Source organism: Homo sapiens, chromosome 4, assembly GCF_000001405.40.
Source record: "Homo sapiens chromosome 4, GRCh38.p14 Primary Assembly".
Taxonomy (NCBI): Eukaryota; Metazoa; Chordata; class Mammalia; order Primates; family Hominidae; genus Homo; species Homo sapiens.
In genome coordinates, this window is record NC_000004.12 from 34,656,818 (window position 1) to 34,680,350 (window position 23,533).

At 36.0% G+C, this 23,533-nt stretch overlaps 2 long non-coding RNA genes across 2 annotated transcripts; both read left to right on the plus strand.

Annotated features, from left to right (window-relative positions):
- Positions 1 to 226: 226 nt before the first annotated feature.
- Positions 227 to 1,867, plus strand: LOC107986270 (uncharacterized). The gene is made up of 3 exons (XR_001741653.1): positions 227 to 266; positions 789 to 868; positions 1,597 to 1,867. It is a non-coding gene; the product is annotated as an uncharacterized LOC107986270 (long non-coding RNA).
- A 7,862-nt stretch (positions 1,868 to 9,729) lies between these two features.
- On the plus strand, positions 9,730 to 22,712 carry LOC107986271 (uncharacterized). Its single transcript, XR_001741654.2, has 3 exons — positions 9,730 to 9,793; positions 11,864 to 12,012; positions 22,409 to 22,712. It is a non-coding gene; the product is annotated as an uncharacterized LOC107986271 (long non-coding RNA).
- The last annotated feature ends 821 nt before the right edge of the window (positions 22,713 to 23,533 follow it).

A 23,533-nucleotide genomic window follows, 5' to 3' on the forward strand; every position in this document is an offset into this window, starting at 1 on the left:
GATATATTTTTTTAAATTACTCTGTAGCCAGAAGCAGTGATATCGAAGCTAACCCAATAGCCCCATCGACTGTTCTTTCAGATAAACATAGAAATTGACCTTTCTAGTCTTAAATCTTGAAACTTGTATTTGTTTTATCTGAGTTCCTTCCTCAGGAAAGGACCTTTGGGCAGCAAGGAAGGAAGGAAGGAAGGAAGGAAAGAAGGAAGAAAGGAAGGAGAAAAATAAATTATCCAAGAACTGAAACTCACCAGATCACCACATCCGTGAGATCCCGGACCCCTCATTCATCCTTATTGCTTCCTTGCCCCCTCCCTAGTTTCTACTTTCTTACACATTGTTACATTTCTTCCCTGCTATTTAAACCCCTAGTTTTGGCCCATCAGGGAGATGGATGTAAGACTGAGCTCGATCTCCTTGGCTGTAGCACCTAATTAAAGCCCTCTTCCTTGGCAATACTTGTCATCGCAGTGATTGGCTTACTGTGCAGTGAGCAGCAGGACCTAGGCCAAATCCCTGGTGTTTTGGTAACAATATCATCAGAATACAGACTCTCAAATATTCAAATGTGTTGTTGTTTTCTATTTTTCACTTATTGCCCTCTTTTTGATCATTTATCTCACTTTTACTTTGTATTTATAAAAGGCTGGGAGCAAAGTAGAGAGGGAAAAATTACTTAATTTCTTAAAATAATAGCCCTTGTGATTATAATACAGAACATTGTGTTAATGTATTATTAGCTAAAACAAATGTTATGAATTTAATAATTAGAACTATTTTCAACTTAGTTTCAACTTATGGCCCAAGAAAATAGAAGTCAGAATCAAAATCCAGCATGCAGAACTTGTTGTAAAACATGGCAGTACAGGTGAGTTACAATGTCTCATTTTTTTTGCAAACTCTCTAACTTATATTTCAGAATATAAATTTTCAGGAGTCAGAATTTGAGACAAGTATTTTTCTGTAAATAAAATCAAATGAGTTTTGTGTACTTTACATTACCTTCACTCAATATGGGAGGAAAAGATGTATTATCCTATTAATTTCAAGTCAGGAGATCAGGATTTTCCAGAGGAAACAAAGAATAAAGGTCTCATGAAGGTTTAGAAGCACAGTGTCCTGGGTTTTGTGCCACTGCCACTCTTGATAAACCAAGACGGCACAAACCTGTCTATATAGTTTCTCTGAGGTGGAATATAAGTTGTCACATCTAAGCCTGTATGTGTTTTCAAGCTTTTGCTGGGCAAGTAGTGTTTGTAGCATATTATGTCCATGAATGAAACAGAGAATTGATGTTTAACTCAACAGGATCAGCTGGATGGGCAAGCTGATTCCAAGTTCCTATGGCCTGAAGAAGTAGCTATTGGCTAGCCAGACCTACGCTTTATCATGTCAAGGAAATTGCAAATCAGAAATTTCATTGTTTGGGGGATAAAAACTCTGAAGACCTCATAAATGCACAGTGTCAGTATAGGGATCAATTTCAAACACCTGACAACACTAGACAATATAATTTCAATAGCCATTAACTAAGAAATTTATTTTACTTTCTTCTTCTACCCACATATCTCTATATCTCTGGCCCTTGGTGGTCAGAAATCAGGATTTGCAAGAAGGGGGTACATGAGAATAGCAAAAGGCAGAGAAAGTGAACCAAGTCTATTGTTAGATACAAGCCGATAAGAAACTAATGAAAGCTCTGAGATTCATGAATGCTGTCAGAAGACACAAGACCCTGGGCTCAGAAAAAGGTAACTTGATTACCTATGGCTAGAAGGCACCACGGATTTTATGTTTGTACCAGTCCCCTCAGTCCCATGGACCTATATGGATGCTGAGAACATAGGGAGTTTGTAACACGTGTGGTGAGAAATTTTGAACTAGAAAATCACTTTTTTTTCAATAGAGGGCTGCAAACAAGCCTCTCCAAGCAAATATTTGCAAACAAATTTCTTCTTTTTTCAGAGGAAAACATTGCTTGTACTATACTGAAAATAAAAACGAGTATTTTCCAAGTTGGTTTGTTGAACACGTCTTTTGATAGTACTTATAAAAGGCAGTCTTTCTGTACATCTTGACTGTACATCTTGAAACTTTCAGGATGTACAGAAAACAACTGACCTATGGAGAATTATCTCTCAACAATTGTCAATCTTCCACAGGCTCAAGCAGCGAGATGGGCAAAAGCCTATACTTAAAGATTGCACTTCTCATGATTATAAGTCGTTGGTCATTTTATTCCTAGACTGAGATTGTGTTTTAAGATTTGAAGGAACTGAAAAGCATTTTAATTCTCTAATCAACATTGCATCCTAGCATGTGCAAGCCCCTAAATATTAATATTTTGAAAGAGAGGAAAAGAAAGGAGGGAAGAGAAGAAATAAGAGAAGGAAGGATGATAAGCAAGGAAAGGAAACTCTATTACTATATGCAATGAATCACGCTTTTTCACCATTAAATTGATTTTTGACAAAGTAGCCACATTGTGGGAGAAATCTGAAATAACTAGAATTACAATTTAAAAGTAAATGCAAATATCTACAGTGTCTGCTTTCTTCTGTCATTTTTGTGTGCTAGTCAATATTCTATGTGAATTGGGTTTACCCTGAGTTTACCTAGTGTTTGTTACATTTTGTATTTATCCTATACAAAATATAGGTATGTCCGATATTTTCTATATATCTTCTAAGAAAAAACTGCCCCAAATATATTTAATCTTGATCTGCTGTGAGAAAAAACCTAGGTGGTTTGAGGAGAAATAAATGGAATTTTTGGTTAAACAAACACTTCAAAATTTGTACTTCAAAAGAGGATTTTTTTTTCTTCAAAAAGTACACATTTCAATTTGTTAATGGAAACTGTGAAAAAAAAAACTAAACTAGGAGAAACAATTTTCTTTTCTTTAGTATGACACTAATAACTAAAAAGATTTTGGAAGTCACTAAACCCTAGTTTTTATCATATTAAGATAAAGAAACATGCAAATAATTTTTAAAATTGTAATTATAATTTATTGACTAACCTTCTTGCTGGAGACAGAATGACTTTTTTTTTTTTTTTTTTTTTTTTGAGACAGAGTTTCGCTTTTGTTGCCCAGGCTGGAGTGCAATGGTGCGCTCTCGCGCAGCTTACTGCAACTTCTGCCTCCCGGGTTCTAGCGATTCTCCTGCCTCAGCCTCCGGAGTAGCTGGAATTACAGGCATGCGCCAACACTCCTGACTAAATTTTTGTATTTTTAGTAGAGACGGGGTTTCTTCATGTTGGTCAGGCTAGTCTCGAACCCCCGACCTCAGGTGATCTGCCCACCTCAGCCTCCTAAACTGCTTGGATTACAGGCATGAGCTACTGAGACTGGCTGAGAATGACATTCTAAAATTAAAATTATCTCAAAGAGGAATCACAGCTTTGTCCTGATAACAGACAAAATTTTTATGTTTAAAATTATGAGAAGACAAATGCATTATTTAAATAATTCATTTAGATTCATATGAAAAACACTAAAATCTAATTCCATAAGTTGCCTGCACAAACATGTTTTTAATGAATTTATATATTTTTAATTGGCATGAAAATTGTATCTATCATATATGACATGATGTTTTGAAATGTTTATACACATTGTAGGATGGCTAAATTGAGCTAATTAATATATGCATTATCTCACAAGCTTATTATTTTTATGATAAAACACTTAAAATATCTTAGCAATTTCAAGAATATTGTTATGAACTGTAGTCACCATGTTGTGCAATAGATTTTTTGAATGTTTTCCTTTTATTTAATGGAAATTTTCTATCCTTTGATCCACAGCTTTGTAAACCTTCTCTCCCCACAGTGCCTACCAGCCCTGGGTGGGCTACTATTTTCTGCTTCTATGAGTTCAACTTTTTCAGATTTAATATAGAAGCGAGATCATGCAATATTTTTTTTGCGTCTGTTTTATTTCAATTAACATAAACTTCCCCAGGTTTATCCATGTTATTGCAAATAACAGGACTTCCTTCGTTTTAAAGGCTGACTAGAATTCCATTGTGGACATATGTTACATTTTCCTTATTCATTCATCCTTAATGGACTTAGATAGCTTTATATCTTGGCCATTGTGAAAAGTGCTACAAGAAACATGGGAACATCGATATCTTTTCCACATACTGATTTCATTTATTTTAGGTATACACACAGTAGTAGGATTGCTGGATCACATGGCAGTTCTATTGTTATTATTATTTTTTTAACACAGTCTCGCTCTGTTGCCCAGTCTGTAGTGCCGTGGCGCGATCTTTGCTCACTGCAACCTCTGCCTTCCGGCTTCAAGCAGTTCTCCTGCCTCAGCCTCCCAGGTATCTGGGATTACAGGCACCTGCCACCATGCCCAGCTAATTTTTTGTATTTTTAGTAGAGTCGAGGTTTCACCACGTTGGCCAGGCTGGTCTCACCACGCCCAGCTAATTTTTTTGTTTTTTATTTTTAGTAGAGTCGAGGTTTCACCATGTTGGCCATGGTGGCTGCCACCACACCCAGCCTTATTATTAATTTTTGAGGAACATGCATGTTGTTCTCTATAATGCCTGTACTAATTTACATTGCCACTAATGTTGCTCGAGATTCCCTTTTCTCCACACCCTTGCTTGTTATTTTTCATATTTTTGATAATAATTATTTTAACAGAAGTAAAGTGATATCTCATTGTGATTTTAACTTACATTTTCCTGATAATTAGTGATGCTGAGCATTTTTTAAATATAACTTGTAACCATTTATATGTTTCCTTTTTAAAAAACATCTGTTCAATCTCTTGCTCATTTTAAAATCTGATTATTTGTTTTCTTGCTGTTTAGCTCGTTGAGTTCCTTACATATTTTGAATATTAGCACCTTATTGATGTATTATTTGGTAATATTTTCTCTCATTTATTAAGATGTCTTTTCTATCTGTTGACTATTTCGTTTGCCATGAAATGGCTTTCAGTTTGGGTAATACCACTTGCTGAACAACAATGTCTTCAAGATTTTTCCCTGTTTTCTCGTATTAATTTTACAATTCAAGCTTTACATTTACTTTAATTCACTTTGAGTAGGTTTTTGCACATGCTGTGAGTTAAGAGTCTAATTTCATTCTTCTGCATGTGAATATTCAGTTTTCCCAATATCATTTATGGAAGACACTGTATTTTCCCTACTTTGTGTTCTTGGCACCTATATTAGCCTGTTCTTGTGTTGCTATAAACAAAAAGCTGAGACTACTAACTCTGGGCTTAGCTTGCTCTTTTTCTAGTTCCTTGATGCATGCATGAAGCTGTTTGTTTGATTTTTCTTCTGTTTTGATGTAAGCATGTATAGCTATAAGCATCCCATAAGTTTTGCTATATATTTAATTTTGTTTTCCCAAAAATATTTTTAAATTTTTCTTTTAATTTATTTCACTCATTAATTATTCAGGAGCATAGTGTTTAATTTTCATATATGAGTGAATTTTCCAATCTTTCTCCTGTTATTGATTTCTAGTTTCATACCATTTTCTTGATGTGATTTAATTCCTTTTAATATGTTAAAACTTGTTTTGTGGACTAACATATGATATATCCTGGAAAGTGTTCTGTGTGTATTTGCAAAGAATAAGTGAGTATTCTACTGAAGTTGCATGGAATGTTTGGTATATGCCTGTTAGATTTATTTGGTCTAAACTATAGTTTAAATCCAATGTTTTCTTGTTGATATTCTGTCGGGATAATTTACCTATTGCCAATGGTGGAGTATGTAAGTCCCATTATTATTTTATTATAATCTATGTCTTCCTTTTATGTATTAATATTTGCTTTATATATTTAGGTTCTCTAATTTTGGATTCATGTACTTTTATAATTGTTATATCCTTTTAATGAATTGGCGTTTGTCTCTTTTTACAGTTTTTGACTTGAAATCTATTTTATCTGATATAAGTACAGCTACCTCTTCTCTCTTGTGGTTTCCATTTACATAAAATATCTTTATCCAGCCTCTTACTATCAGTCCATGTGTGTGCTTAAAAGGAAAGTGAGGGTGGGCCTGGAGCATGTATTGGTGGGAACTGCATCTGCATCTGTGTCTGTAATCTGTATCTTTATCTATGTTTATGTCTGTATCTCTAGGCTCTGTGTCTATATCTGTATCAGTAGATGCTGTATTGGTAGGGGTGGGCCTGAAGGCTGGGTTCACAAGGACTGATGGGACTCTGGGGTGGATCTTGACCCTGATTGTGCAGCAGTTGGCCAGGCATCAGGATGGACCTGACATCTGGGTTCATTGGGACATGCCCGAAAGCTGAGTTCACTGGGGCTGGCTTAGTGCTAGTATCAGCCTGAAGCCTGAGTCTGCAGGGTATACCTGGGTCATGGGCCCATGGGAATTGGCATAGAGCCTGTGCCTTCTAGGGGGGTACTGGAGCCTTGGTCCAAAGAGGCCAGATTGGCTTTGGGGTTTATTGGGCTAGACCCTATCCAGGACATACGGACTATAGCAGGACACAGCCCTGTCCTATAGACTCAGGTTTCAAGCCCACTCTAGCACCAGCCCAGCCCCAGTGGACTCAGCCTCCAGGCATGTCCCAGTGGACCCAGATGTTAAGTCCATTCTGGGTTTACTGGTCTTATGCTGGGACAGGCATAGAGCCTATATCTTCCCATCTGGACCCTGGGATTGTGTGCACTGATCTGGGTCTTGGGTTCATGGGGGCTGGTATGCTGCTGTGGAAGCTGGATCCACAGGGACAGGCCTGAAGCTTATGTCTTGGCTGCCAGCATGGTGCTTGAGGCCAGGGTGCTGACCTGGTGCTGGCATAGGCCTAAAGCCTGGGGTTGTGTGGATTATCCTGGTCTGGAGCCTGAGGTGGGCATAGAGCCAGGGGCCCCAGGGGCTGACCTGGTACTGGGCATCCTATAACCTATATTTGCAGGGGCTGGCAAGTCTGTGTCTGTGGGTGTCAGTCTTTTTTCTTTTTTATTTCATTTTTTTTTTTGAGACGGAGTCTCGCTCTGTTGCCCAGGCTGGAGTGCAGTGGCGCGATCTTGACTCACTGCAACCTCTTCCTAGTGGGTTCAAGCCATTCTCCTGCCTCAGCCTCCCGAGTAGCTGGGACTGCAGGCGCCCGCCACCACGCCCGGCTAACTTTTTGTATTTTTAGTAGAGACAGGGTTTCACTGTGTTAGCTAAGATGGTCTCGATCTCCTGAACTTGTGATCTGCCCACCTTGGCCTCCCAAAGTGCTGGGATTGCAGGTGTGAGCCACCACGCCTGGCCGGGTGTCAGTCTTATAATTAGGGAGGCAGAGGCAAGCCTAGTGTTAGGTATGGTGTTGAATTTTAGGCTGGCAGGGTGGGCCTGATTCTATCTAGCGTGCACCTAGAGATAGAGTATACACGGCAGACCTGGAGCCAGAATCTGTGGGGCTGGTCAGACCCTGGGGTGGGCCTGTAGCCAAAAGCTACAGGGGCCAAGCAGGTGCCCTGCCAGTTGGGAGCCTGAAGATGCTGGGGTTGGCCTGAGGTGGGTGGTCCTGGAGACTGAGTTTGCCAGGCAGGCCTGGAGCCTGGGATTGCAGAATCCAGCCCGGCACCAGGGCAGGTATGATGGCTCAGGCTGAGGGTAGGAGTTTGGGGTTTGGGGCCTTAGGGACCTGCCTGGTCCTGGGCTTTACTGGGGCAGGCCTAGTATTGGAGTCCAAGCCAAAGTCTGGTGCTTACTTTCCTCTCCTTTCCCCAATCAGACAGTATATCTCTCCACATTGTGTCTGAATTTGGAGGAGGGAACATGAGTAAGGTAAAACTGCCCTTCCTATCCTCTTCAATGACTCTTCTCTTATTTCTGTGGTACAGCCAGGTCTTGTCATCTATCATCTGGTTTTCTTAGCGATTATGACTGTGTTTTTGTGCACGAATAGTTGTTCAAACTGATGTTCCTGTTGCAGGAATGAGCACTGGAAATTTCTGTTCCACCTTCATGCTGACATCTGGTGAGCAGATTTTTTTTTTTTTTTTTTTTTTTGAGAGGGAGTCTCTCTCTGTGGCCCAGGCTGGAGTGCAATGGTGCAATCTCGGCTCACTACAAGCTCTGCCTCCTGGATTCATGCCATTCTCCTGCCTCAGCCTCCCGAGTAGCTGGGACTACAGGCGCCCGCCACCATGCCCAGCTAATTTTTTGTATTTTTAGTAGAGACCGGGGTTTCACCGTGTTATCCAGGATGGTCTCAATCTCCTGACCTCATGATCTGCCTGCCTTGGCCTCCCAAAGTGCTGGGATTACAGGCATGAGCCACCGCGCCCGGCCGATATTTTTTAAATGAGTAAATAAAATGGATACTTATTCAAATTTAATACATAGTACAGATGTTCAAAACACTACTCCAAGGAACTATTTTTCATTTTTAAATGATGAGAGGTTACTTTTTACTAAGAAAATTTGAGTTGGCAGTTCGTGCTCTTGAGGCTGCTTTCAAGCATCTGTGATGCAGGCCCTTATGTGTGATTATTTTGCTTTTCTCAGCTCATGGCTTCCACCTCAAGAGAGCTATTATTTCCAGTCATTATTTCAATGAAATTAATTTCTAAAAACCCTTTTACAGTAATATCAAAATATACAAATAGCAATAAAAAATACAAACAAATTGAATGGAGATGTTCAAGACCTCTACAATAGCCATTTCAAAACATTGCTGAGAGAAAGGTACACATGTGAAATGGTAAACCTACTTTATTAATCAGAGCAACACAATTAAGTATGTCCCCAGGAGAAATATAAAAAGTTGTCTAGTGATCGTTCATAGCAACTCTACTTATAATAGTCAAAGACTGGAAATAAACCCAGTGTCTATGACCAGAATGTAAATAAACAACCTGTGGTATATCCTTACAATGGAATATTATTCAACATAAAAGAAAACAGATTGCTTACACACACAATAACTTGAATCTCAAAAGTATTATGCTAAGTTAAATAAATTAGACTAGAAACTACATAATGTGTGATTCTGTTGATATAAATTCTAGAAAATGCAAATCAATACATGGTAGCAAAAAGCAGATAGTGGTTTCTTGGGACAGAGGTTAAGAAACAGATGAATTTCAAAGGGACAAGAGGCAACTTTTGAAGTTGATGACATTTTTTGTTATTTTACTTGTGATGGTAATTTCTCAGAAAAAAAATAACGTTTCTCAAATTGTGTATTTGAGTAAGTATAATTTATTGAACTTCAAATATACTCCCCAAAATTGTTGTGTATGTATGTGTGTGTTTGTATACACATTGTAAAAAATGAATCTATAATGAATCTACATATAGAATGAATAATATTTATGTGTTAGAATGAATAGTATTTATGTGTTTGGGTTCTCCAGAGAAACAGAATAAATAGGATATCTGTGTGTGTATATATATATACACACACATATATATGTATATCTGTGTGTATATATATGTATATGTATATATACATATATATACACACACACAAGCACACACACTCTCACTCATATAGATTGATATGGTTTGGCTGTGTCCCCACCCAAGTCTCATCTTGAATTATAGCTCCCATGTGTTGTGGGAGGGTCCTGGTGGGAGATAATTGAATCATGGGAACTGTTACCCCCATACTGTTCTCTAATGATTCACTGCTGGTTGTAAATAAGTCTCAGGAGATCTGATGGTCTTATAAGGGGAAGCCCCATTCACTTGGTTCTCATTGTCTCTCTTGACTAATGCCAATGTAAGACGTGCCTTTCACCTTCTTCCACGATTATGAGGACTGCCAGCCACTTGGAACTGTGAGTCTATTTACCCTCTTTTTCTTTAAAAATTATCTAGTCTTCGGTATCTTTTTCAGTGCATGAAAAATGGACTAGTACATACATATATGTCAGAAAAAGCTTATTACAGAAATGTGCCCACTTGATTATGGAGGCCATGGAGGGACTCATCCAAGTCTGAAGGACTGAGAACCAGGGTTATTCCTGTTGTAACCCCTAGTCCAAAGCTGAAATCCTAAGAAGTGATGGGAGGGTATTGGTGGGAAAGGCACTGGACCAAATCCCAGAGTCTGAAGTCCTGAGAACCACGAGCACCCATGTCCAAGCACAGAAAAAGATGGATGTTCCAACTCAAGGGGAGAGAGAATTCATCTTTCTTCTGTCATTTTGTTCTATTTAGGCTCACAAGGGATTGGATGATGCCTGCCCACACTGGTGATGGTAGATCTTCTTTACTTAGTCCACTGATTTAAATGCTATATTCTTTCAGAAACCCCCTCACAGACACACTCAGAAATAATATTTTACCAGCTATTTGAGCATCCCTGAACCCAGTCAAGCTGACATATAAAATTAACCATTACAATTTGTTTCACAGATTTGTATCAATTATCTGTTATTCATTTAGTTTTATACTGCTAGACTTTGAGGGAAAATGTTGAGAAATTTTAAAAAATTATCTGCTTTCACAAGGCTTTCAATATTCTTAAAAAACTATATATAACTAAATAATCATTATGATTTATTATAATAAATATATGAATAATATGCCAGTTTTTATGGGAAGACTTAGAAAATACATCTACTGTTTTTAGTACATTATAAATCACTTCCTTAAAAAAGCATATTTACTCTATAAGCTGGAGTATGAGTAGTAGTTAGTAATATGCTAAGCCTCTAGGCATAAGAGAAGCAGGGTGCTTTCCAGAAATTTATCAATCTCCTCCTGCTTGCATCTCAGCATGCAAGAGAGCTTTAGGGGATTTTATGCCTAGAGAGGTTGTCTGGGATCAGATAGGCCATGAAAAAAGAAAAGATTAGATATTATCTAAACTAGAATCTTTAGAAAGAACTCATATAGGGCAAGATATTGATGCTTTAGGCTTATTTTTTTGGCTGCACTCTAGAGAATGGATGGGAAAGTATAAAAGAATGGGGATAATATCTAGTTTGGTAGACCTTTTGCAGTAATATAGGTAAGACCTGATGTCTTGAACTAATCACCGTTGTGTATATCAAAGAAGAACAAAGAAAATGAATTATGGAGACATGTAAGCAGTGGTAGAATTGGTAAAACTGGTGATTGATGGAATGTTAGAATTGAGGGGGAAGGAAGAGACATAGACTCTGAATTTCTGGGTTTTAGATTAAATAGATGGTGCTGCTACTCCCTAATATAGGAGAAACCATCAAAAGAATGGGTGGGCAGGAGAAGAGAAGGAAAGCAGATGCTTTTGAAGTGATAGACAATCCAGATCTGGGGATTTTGAGTCTAAGATGCATTGAAACTTCTCAACATTTTTTTTTAGATAGTTTGAGTATTGGGAATTAGAGGTGAGACGGAGAAGAAAAAAAATGGAGATACAGTATGAAAATTCAGTTTACATGTCAGGAAAGTAAAGGGATTAAACTGTTTTGTAAAAGGTAGAGTTGCTAACAGTGACAAAGGCTTTCATGAGAGTTAAGATCCTAGAAGAGGGAGATGGAGATATTTAAAGTTAAGTGTAGATAAAAATGCATTGGAAATACATAAATTTCAACATTTAAAGGTTGATTACTATGAATCTATTGTGGTATTGCAAGCTTCTCTGTATGCTTTCCTCCATCTGGTCTCAGAAGTCTTCATGATAAAAGAGAAAACCAAAACCTAAATGAGAGTTGTGTGTGAGTATGTATGTGGGTGTGGGCTGGTGTGCTTGTCTAGAATTTTATGACAGAAACGGTAAGTTAAAAAATTGAGATTGTCAAGAGTCATGGAAAAGTTGAACCATTATATGATAATTCGTGCCATTACACAGAGTTCCTGGTTTCAAACATCAGAATGGAATTAGGCATTATATTTATTAAATGATATGTCATACCTCACAGACTCTCAAAAAGTACCAGAAGTAACTCATGAGTAAGTTACTCAACCAGGAAAAGCACATAGAACAGCATAGAGATTGCCTTAAGGAAGAAGCTACTGCTGCTGCCATTCTGCATTGGGAAGCTCATCAAACACATCATGGGTATTATAGGTGAGTCAGGGGGCTGGATAGTAGAAACCCTGACACTACTATTCCCCCTAAAGCTTGATATCTCCAATGCCTAAAGAAAGAATGAATTTTGTGTACCTCTGCTTTTTCATTTCTGAATCATAGACTTGCATATATCTGCTAATTAGAAAGGTAAGTTTTGGTTTCTACATTGATAGGTGTGAATCATAATAGGATAAAATTCTCAAGCCAAAAAAGGAATTCAAAAGATGCTTAATGATTACTATATAATAATTTCTTTTCTACATCAATTTCTATGTAATTCTGTGAATTTACTTTTATTTCTTTCCACATATTGATAGGAAGCATTGCCTTCAGAATAATGAATGAATACTTTTCACCCTTCGCAGGACTTGCTACATTGGTCTTTGCTAGCTTCAATGCCTGGAATGCAAACTTCGGGTCCCTTGTTAGTAGAAAGATGCACAGATGCGGCTCTGTTGACTCAGTTGTTTAAATACATATTGTCAAACAAAATATTTGCAGCACTGATGCCAAGTTCCTCCTGACATTCACAATAATATTGAATTTGACTCAACCAAACAAGTGTGACAATATGTGGAATAAAATTTCATCTAGGTTTTATCTGGTTTCAAACTCTCTTAGATTTAACACTCTTTTGTGGTTTTCAATTTGAAACAGAATTTGGCTAAGTTTTGGTGATTGAAGCTGTAGAGCCATTAAATTAAAAAGGTATGCTACTACTATTTAAAGCGTCGTTTAGCTTAATGCTAAATTGTCCTCAAAATTGTTCCAGTTTAAGCCTGCAAAAAGCTTTACAATATGATCATTTTCTGGAGATCATTTTTCTTGAAGGTTGAAACTAAATTACTATGAAAATATTTTCAGTATTATTTAAATAAAAACTTTAGAACCTCATGGAATGTGTGCAAGTAATTCCTGTATCTTTTCATTACAATAACAACACTTTAACAGAAGTAGAATTTTTTTTAACGAAGTGACTTTTCTTTTTTCTTTTTCTTTTTTATTTTTCTTTCTTTCTTTTTTTTTTTTTTTTTGAGATAGGGTCTTACTCTGTTGCCCAGGCTGGAGTGCAGTGACGCCATCTTGGTTCACTGGAACTTCTGCCTGTTAGACTCAAGCAATCCTCACACCTCAGTCTCCTGAGTAGCTGGGACTACAGGCATCTGCCACTATGCCCGGCTAATTTTTTGTATTTCTGTTAGAGATGGGGTTTCACCGTGTTGCCCGGGCTGGTCTCAAACTCCTGGGCTCAAGCAATCCACCTGCCTCAGCCTCCCAATGTGCTGGGATTACAGGAGTGAGTCACGACGCACAGCCAACAAAGTGATTTTTATCTGAAAGTAATTGCTTTAGGTAAGCACACACAAAAACATACTTAGAAAAAATAATGAGATGCTAATAAAACCTATTTTCCCCTACTTGTATATATTTTCGTTACAGCATTTAAAGAAGAATGTATCACAATCTGTTGTACACAGATATCACTCCAATTTGGACTCTGAATGCTTTGATTATGCCTGTCTTTATATTTGTGCTTTCTAGTACCTAGTAATATATCTCATAATTAGTGGGGGTTTTACAAATATGAAAAGAAGAAAGTCATGGAAGAAAATGGAATGGAAGAGGAGCATAAAGGAGAAATGCAAGGAAGCAACCCAGGAACAAATACATGTTTTAATATTTTCTCCCATTCACCATATAGAGAGTTAAGTACACTAACTGTGTCATGGCAAACACTAATACCACTATGTTATTATGGTATTGTAAATTAACAACTGTTTTTTTCAAAAGGTGTAAACCTGTGACACGTATTTCCATATTTATACATTCGAAGTGAACCTAAGACTTGATATATAAATGCACTTTGATTTTGGGGGCCCAGGGGGTACTGGGCAGCCTGTAATCATTGGCTTAATTATAGCCTAAAGAAAGTGATTAGAGTGATAAGAAAGTAGAAAACATATGGAGAAGCAGGGCATTTAAATAGAGATAAGAAATAAAAGTGGAACATGATCATGGTTCTCTGTGTGACATGGAGGGAATAAAATTAAAAATACATCAGCTCAAAAAGTAACTATGTCACCATCTTGTTCTATGAACTTGGGTATATTACTTAATTTTCTAAATGGCTTTTTCTTCTTATATAAAATGTTGTTACTAACACAATCTTCAAAGTGTTCTGAGAGCTAAGTTAAAAAGCAAGTAAACAACTGCTGATTAACATTTTATGTAAGAACTGACAATTTTAAGATATTTTTCTTTATACACCTGACCTTATCTCAATCAATTTAGACTTAATGATCTCTATGATTTTGGGGTAGAATGCCGGAGAACAAAAAGAAAAAAAATGTTTAAACTTTAAACAGATACATCCTTAGGAACACTAAAGAAAAATAATAGGCTTCACCCCTAGATTATTTAATTAATATTCATTTATTACCACCTACTACGCTCCAGATTTTATTCCCATTATTTAGAATATATCAACTGAACAAAGTAGCACAGATATCTGTCCTATCTGTTTCTATCTTTTAATATAGAAGTAAGGGATGAAAGTCACAAGTTACCATAGTAGAGAAGTAAATTATATATTTTTAAAAATGGAGATAGGAGCAGGCTAAAGGAGATTTAACATGGTGTGTGGGGGAAGGAAATGTGTAGTATTAAGTAGGGCAGGCGGGATTAGACCTAATTGGGAAGATGCAATTTAAACCAAGAGTTAAAGAAAGTGATGGAGTTAGCCAAGTGAATACCTAGGGGAAGAGTGGGTCAGTCAGAGAAAATAGCTAGAGAAAATGCATTAAGATGAAAGTATTCTTAGTATACTGTGGTTACAGGAAGGAAGCTAGTATAGTTGGAGATGAGTAAGCAATGGATGAGAAGTAGATGATGAATTCAGAGGTAATGGGCAAACTGTAGAAGAATCTTATAGGCCATTTCAATGACTTCAGCATTTGCGGAATGAGGAGCCATTGTAAGATATTCTACAGGGGAGTGAATTATCCACTTACTCTGGTTGAATAATTAAGAGCAGACTATAAGGGGCCAAGCATGGGGGCACGGGAAACTATTAAAAGGCAATTTGCACTGATCCAAGGGAGAACCAGCATGGCAGTGATTGAGAAATGAGAACTGATTGTATTTGGTACGTATTTTGAATGTTGAGCAAATATTTTCTGATATATTTGACACAGAATATAAAATAAACAGAAATGACTTCAAAATGTTTACTGTTTATTCCAAACAAGTAGAAAGATGAAATTGATACCAACCGATTGGAGAAAGGTTATTGATAGAGCAGGTTTCAGGATAAAGAGCAAAAATTACCTCTTGGCTATGTTGAGTTTGAGGTGTACATTAGATATCCAAGTGGAAACGTCAAGAATGGTGAAATACAGGATATAGGATTGTTGCTGGAGAAAAAACTGGGGACTTCACAATATGTAGGTCGTATTTAAAGCCATGAAGCTTGATTACATCACCAAAGATACAATCCCATGTCTGACATTAACTTGTTGGAGAGGAATATGACAGATTATATATGATTTCAAGGTATAGGATCTAATGCCCAAATAAAGGGATGGGATTTAGATAGAATTATAGGTAACTAGACACAAAGAAAGTGCTTGTAGTTATTTGGGCAGATAGGTACATAGAAATTATAATAGGAGTCTCTGGCATTTCTTTTAATTCTCCTAGTAAAATGCAAAGCTGAGGATAAAAAAAGTGAAAGAACATAGGGACTGACTGGCTAGAGAAGAAAAGGAGTGAAATAGTGATTCTTCATAGTGGGAGAGAGAATTAGCAAAGTATTGCTTAAGAGCCAGGAAGCATTAAGAACCAATACACACACACACATGTGGTTTTGTATTTTCCCTCTGGCCTTGTGGAACTGACCAAAAAAAAAAAAAACAGAGTAGACAGAATTTAGGATTTAGCCAAGTTGTAAAACCCATGGGGCAAAAGACTCTTGGTGTGGGCTTAAGCAAGAGAGGATCTGTAATGATTGACAATGGAATTTACAGTGGGTAAAAAGCAGAAGAGGACATCAAGGGCCAACAGTCAGTGAGTGGAAGAAATTCCACCTACACATCACCTATATCTATATCTATTTTTCTTTTTTTAATATGTTTCATTTTATATCTTTTTTTCTTTTTATATCTCTATTTCTATTTCTATATCATCTATGTCTACTCCATGGGATTAGAGAATATGAAGGGACAAAAAGAAAGTAGGGCACCCTATATTAGGTCAATTGCACACCCTGCTTTTTTTCCAGTAGTTGAGCCAAATGATTGCGAGAGGCAGGGCACAGCAGGGGCAGAGAATGAGAATTCTCCCTTATAGATTTGAGGCATTCAAGAAAGAACAAATGTTCCCTCTCCTACAGATAGGTGAAAAACTATCATGTTTTACAGTAAGAAAAACTCAACACATCTAGGCGTACAGGTCTTAGGCAGCTCACCATGTTTTCTCTTAGTCATGGTGGAAGAAGAGTAGCAAAGTGAATTTCAGGGCACCTGAGAGAAGCTTTATAATTGCCATGAAAGTCACTGGCATTGAAGCAGCCTTAAAAAAATGAATTGACAATTGACACAGAAGAGTAGGGTCTGATGAGCAATCTCTGTATTGACAAAACACCAGGTTTTGTTACCCATTGCTCTAAATATCCAGTTTTGTGAAATTATGTAAACTTTCATGAACTAAGATGTAGTGCAAGGGAAGATGAACTGCCAATTAAAAAATCAGCATTTGGAATAGAATTAACGTTTATAGAAAACACCTAAAAATTCTCAAATAACTTGTAGAATGAAACTCATATTCATCACTAATAATGTAAATCACCAGTGTTACTACATCATAGATGTTCAATAATAATCAGTTTTTATAAACTTTATAATAGTTCAGAAGAGAATATGGTAATGATAACTAAACCTAATATTGTAAAGTTTTGTAAAAATGCTAAGTAATTCAAACATGTTTCTTCCTATTTGACCCTCTCATTAATGTTATATGTAATAAGAGATGCTGTCAATTTTCTCATTTTACATACCAAAAAGTAACCACACAATACACAATCTTTCTTCCCATTCCACCAAAAACAACTAATTTGTAAAAGGCAGTTAAAGGAAATAGAATTTTTACCCTTTCACTTAAATTAAAAAAAAAAAAAAGAAAAAGAATTTTCAAACAACCAAAATGTCTCCCCGTCCAAAGGAAAAAATATTTCTGATGAAACTAAATCTACTTCACAGTAATATTTCAAGTAGAAATAGCTAGGCTTTCTAACAGAAATGTTGTAGCAAAGATTTTCATATTAGTTGATGTATTAGTCAGAATTCTCCAGAGAAACAGAACCAACAGAAGAGATTTGAGACAGAGAGAAATATTTATTTTTAAAAATTGTCTCATGCAGTTGTGAAGTTAGCAGTTTGAAGATTCAGGTAATAATTGATGTTGCAGTCTTTATTCAAAGGGCTTGAAACTCAGGTATAAACTCTATGTTGCAGCTTGGAAGCAGTTTTGTTTTCGTTTGATTTGGTTTCTGGAAACCACAGTCTTTTCTCAAGCATTTCCTCTAATTTAATTGAGGCCCACCCACATCATGAAGGGCAATGTGCTTTATTCGATGTCTACTAATTTTAATTTTAATCACTTCTGAAGCAAAATACCTTCACCTCAACATCTAGATTGGTATTGTCCAAACCCTTATCTAGCTAAGTTGACACATAAAATTAGCCATCTCATTTGGAACACTGAAATAAATGACATTTAAGGTCACTTCTAATTTTATGATTCTACATCCTACTTATTGGAGAAAAAAAAATACCTGGCGGTTATGTTTGGAAAGACTGTTTAATTGACCCCCGAAAATGTAGGCTTACAAAATGCCATTAACCTTATTGAACATACTGAGGCACAAAACTAAGTAAAAATAAGTCTGGAAGTCAGAAATTATTATCATCTTTAACCCTTTTTTCTAATTCAAATGTTCCATCTAACCAATGGCTTTTCACTGCTTTCTTCCTTGTGGCTTTTAAATCAGCCCAGTTCTCTCTAATCCCTCTACCTATAAGTAGCTCAAGAACTACTATCATCTTTCAAGGATAATTGCAGCAGCATTTGAATTGCTCTCTCTGCCTTCAATCTATTGCAATATTCCTATCAATGTTTTCTCAACACTAAAGCAGGAAGATATTTTAAAATTAAAATTTGATCATGTCTCTTCATTACAAAAATTCAATGAAATTCCATCACTCTAAGAGTACCAAATTTCAGCACTTTCATGATCTAAGTCGTCCTTATGAACACTCTGGCTTTATATTTTATTTTGTTAGCATTCAAACTTAATATTTTATATGCATAGATTTATGGGCTTCTCTATAAGATGTGCTTTCTCTTCCTTCTAGGCTACTGTTTAGGGTATTTCTTCTATTTGAACTAGGCCCCTGTCACTCCCTGCAGGCCCATTGTGACTTTGCCTAAAAAATTCTGATTAAGTAACCCAAGAAGGGGCTGAAAGCTTAGGTCCATCTTGATTTAGTAGTTTATATGATTTCTGTGACTGTTCTTTACTAACCTGACTTATTTTTTATTCAGAGACAGAAAAATAATGTTTGATTTGCCAAAAAAACTGCTAGGTTTAGAGGAAAAAGATCCACTAATATCAACAATATTAATCAAATGTAAGTTATCTGTGATGGGTTTTCATTAAAGATACTTCCCTCTTCTGTTTTGAAAGATATGTATCCTCTTATGAAAGAAAAATGGACTCAAACCCAATTCCCAATTAGGAAATTATTGGTAAAATATACTGAAGTTATCTTGGCCTATTCTATGGCATTTAAAGTGAAAATTATTAGAAAGAAAACACTCAAAATAAAATATTCTTTTTGTGTGGGGAAAAGTGATTTCAATGACAATATTTTCAGTACGTGTGAATTTAATGAAAGCATGTTCATTAATTTTGATTGCTATTACTTAAATTGTCTAACATCATTTTCCTGTAGCAGAATCAAATGGGTAATTTCAAACTAAAAATGGCATACAACACTGATCTGAGACTAGAAATATTGTTCAATCGATTTCTTCCTAGGCTTTCAAAATCAGTGAACTCTACCATCTTAACACTATTATTTCTAAATCAGATAAGAAGAATGGATTTTTCTTATAATGTATGAACCAAATGAAGAACTAAAAATTTAGTCATAGATTTTTGTCAATACAAATAAATACATGAGTAAATGGGCAACGCTTCCAAATGAGTCCATTGCCTATAGCAGTTTCAGCCAAATTGTTCCATTGTAAGAACACAATTGTAAATGTTTTGTGATCACTTTATATTATTTAGTAAAATATATTTGAGAGATTTATCTTTGCATACCCCTGATCTTAGAACATATATCTGCAATTTGCAGATATTTTATCTTAAATACATTTTTATATTTTCCCTTCTTTCTTTGCTTAATATTTTAGGAACAACCTTATCCAAGCCCCTTTGCCCTCTAGCAGTGGGAGGAACTGTAAGAACAGAGGTCAAGTGTAGAGAAGAAGCAAGATTATTTCTGTGCTCCCAGAATTTGTTTCCAGTGGCCTCACTGGTATCAGCTGTTTCTTCCTTGTGATTCTAGCTCCTGCAAAATAGCCCTTTTCTCTGTGGTCTTAGATCCTGCTGAGGTTTGCCTCTGCTATAGAGAAGCTTCAGGGCTCACATAATATCACTTCTTTCATGTGTCCCTCCAGTCCTAGGAGTGGTAGTGCTTCCTGCTGTTTCTAATCTCTTACTTACTTCCTCATACATTGAGTTCCTCTGGTCTTCAGTCACCCATGTAACCAATTCCCTGTGTTAAATTTTCTCTGATTGAGACACCTAGTGGGTTTCAAGTTTCTCTGCATACAAATAGGTTGTTGTTTCTTTTTTAGGCATAAAAAAAGATTGGAGAAATTCTAACGTGATTCTGCCATGAGAACAAATCCCTTTGATAAAGCAGTACTTCCAGCTCAACCCTCCAATAGGGTCCCAAGTTCATGGGAATTAAAAATGTTTATGCTTCGTATTACATATTAAGAAACCTACAAAGAAAATCTCATTACAATGCTCCTGAATTACATGACTATTTTCTTCTCTGTGTGTTTAAAACTTAATATTTCAACATCAACTAATGTCCTTAACTAATATACTTCTAGGGCCTTTTGTGTCTTCCGTAAGCACCAATATATGCATGTAGAAGCTAAAGATATATGAGACACAGTTTCTGCCCTAAAAAAATGTAGTGGGAGAAAAACACACATGAACAGAAAATGAAAAAAACAGCAACAACAACAACAAAAGACAGGATAATGAACAGAATGGAGATTTTCAGATGTGATATAGGAACATGTAATACATAAAACACAGCTAGAAAAGGCTTATAAAGGCCTCATAAAAGAGTTAAGTATCACTTAAGAATATATAATGCTATAATCAATATATATAACCTAAATATCTGTACTTGTGAATTACCTAGAATATACTTTTAATATATTTGTATATTTCCATGGAACCCTACAATAATTCATTTATCTGTTTACCTTAGTCACATCCAGAGACTCACACTGGACTCACACTGGTTAACTATCCTGTACATTCAATTCAATAATTTCATACAAATTCCCTATAACAAATTTGTCCATATACTCAATATTTTTTGTCTTCCCTCCATCTTTACCTCTTATTATAACTTGACTGTGGCTTTTTCTCACAACCCATTTCCCTGAAGACATTGTATATGAAGGTTATACTTTTGTCCCTGACACTCTTGTAGTTCAGTGGCTTGGGTTTGGATACGTTCTTTTCTTTTGCCTTCTTGTGGTTTCTGAATTTCTTTTCTTGTTATTTTTCTACTATCTCTTTTATCTTCATTTCTCTTCTAGATAATTTATGTTATTGTAGACATATACTTTAGTATTTTTAACTTTAGAAATTCCTTCCTCAACTCTGTATTTTCCTAAGTTTACCATTCTATATCTCTGATTTGCTTCATAGCAAAATGGGTTGAAAAAGTTATCCACATTTGGTTGTACCTGCTTCTTACTTCACAAATCCTTAAACAAATTTTCCCTCAGTTTTGTTCCTACAACTGCATTGAGGCTCTTCTTTTACATCCTCCTTGATTTCTACCTTTCAAAATTCAATAATGAGTTCCTTTTCAAATTTTTGAACCCTCAGATATATTTGGAAAAATTGATAATTTTATTTTATTTTGTCTTCAATTACCTTACACTACCTTGATTTTTATACCTCACCAATTGTTCTTTCTCTATGTTAGCTCTTTCTTCGTTCCTGATCTATAAAATGAGGTCCATTTGAGGCTTGATTTTATTATTGTATCTATATGATTTCCAGGGAGCATTCATTCAGGCTCTTGGATTTAAAAACAACTCTGATCTATAATAAATTTCAACCTATAAGTCTATGCTTATAATCTATAATTTTATTCTGGATCTTCCATATAGACTTTTCTATAAATTTTCAGCTTGCACATTGAACTGCCCACTTGATATCTGATCTTAGAAGTTTAACAGACACCTCCAACTTAACGTGAGCCCAAAAGCCTTGTTGTGACATTTTCAAAACATGCTCCTCTTTTAGTCTGAGAATATTGCCCCTTTAGAAAACTCTGTCATAATTCATATAGTTTATCCAGTCACAAATGCATGTATTGTTTTGGAGAACCCTTTCTCTTACCCTTATAAATCCATGAGCACTTCATTTTGTCTTTAACTCCACAAAATATCTGGAGTTTATCCAACAAATTCTATCACCTAATTCTATCATGGGAACCTCGCTCCTCGTGACTTCTTCTAATCCTAATTACCTCCCTAACATCCTATATCCAAATACCCTCACATTGAGAATTAGGGCTTCAATATTTCAATTTCTGGAGGACAAAAATATATTCAGTCCATATCAACATATTAAACATAAAAATAAATGTACCCATATTTTTCGTCTTTTCCTTTACATTGTAAGTTACATGAGAGCAAACAACATACTTGTCCAATATACATATTTATTTGGTGCCAAATAAATGTCTGCTGAAAAAATGAATAATTTAATGAGAAATTAAAGGAATGTTTGAGTAGAGAATTATAGATTAAAGCTACAGATGAAGGTCGATGTTATTATAATAGACATATGATGTTGCCAAGACAATATATTTAAGAGGAGAAAAATATAGTGAAAAACTTTGCAGTGGTACAAATTGAGAACAAACAATTTGAAGATTTAATTATAAGAATGATGAGTGTGTTCTGGTTACAAAAAGTCACAGGGTTTCTTATCGTTGTTATTTTATTTTACTTTTGTCCTGTTGAGGCAATAATTAAGAACAAATAATCACTTATTGAATAGCGCAGGAAAACAGCCTGCCTGCTGCATGGCACGAGTGACTACGCCACCATCTTGAGGAAAACCATCACAATGCCCAATGTTTGACTCCTGCGTATCACGGTGTTCTGAAGCAAGGTCTTTTTCCCCGGAAGTAACAAGTCACAGCATGGAAGTCTGAGATGTAACTAGCTGCACTTGTCTTTACCCTAAATGCTTGCTATCTAAAGGACATTCTCTAGAGGAGATTGCGAAATCCACCGTATCACAACCACCCAAGATATCATTTCTGTTCATAAGTCCCTATTAAATATGTATTTCTGAGAAACTGGCTTTTTTTCAGCATCTTTCTTCAGCATCTCAGCTCCCTCAGCCTTTGGGGGTAGATTTGAATATACCCATCATTTTTATGGTCTTAGCATGGTCTCAATGTACTTCAACTGGCCTGTTATAAATTAGGGAATGATGCTTAGTACCAATCTTCTCTATGTGAGATGCAAAGAGAGAGTAGAATAGAAGATAAAAGAAGTTCAAATGGGGTCAGTTAACCTCTGAAGCCAGGCTCAGATTTCAGGCTTTCTAAAATGTTTTTCAAGATAAAAAATAAATACGCTCTGTTTTCAACTCAGGTTGGGAATGCAACTTTTGCATTTATCCCCTGATATTGTCTATTAGTTGCTTTTGCAACCTAAGACCTAGAATAAAAATATGCCCTAAGGGCCTCTAAGCTTTTCTAAGTATCTACTCATCTCTGCAATGATACCTGCTGCAGCTGCTAACTGCTTCAGCAAGAAAAAAAACACATACACACCATATGAAATTACATCTCTTCTTCAAAAGTAAGTCTTATATTTTAGCTATTCACATTTCACAAACATCTTCTGATAAGATACTGAGTGAGCAGTTAGAAGAAATGACATTCACAAACATACTGCTAAAAATAGTTATTGCTTCTAATAATCAATGAGATTTTATTGCATTTGCAGAAGGCCTGGGGTAGGAGGGCATATTGGTCAGGGTGATGTTTTACCATTTATGACAGAAAAGTAACATTATTTAACCTTTCTAATATTCTACTACTAATGTATTCTACTTATAAAGATAAAACAGGCTGCATTTTTACTTCTGAATGAAAAAAATGAGTTTGAC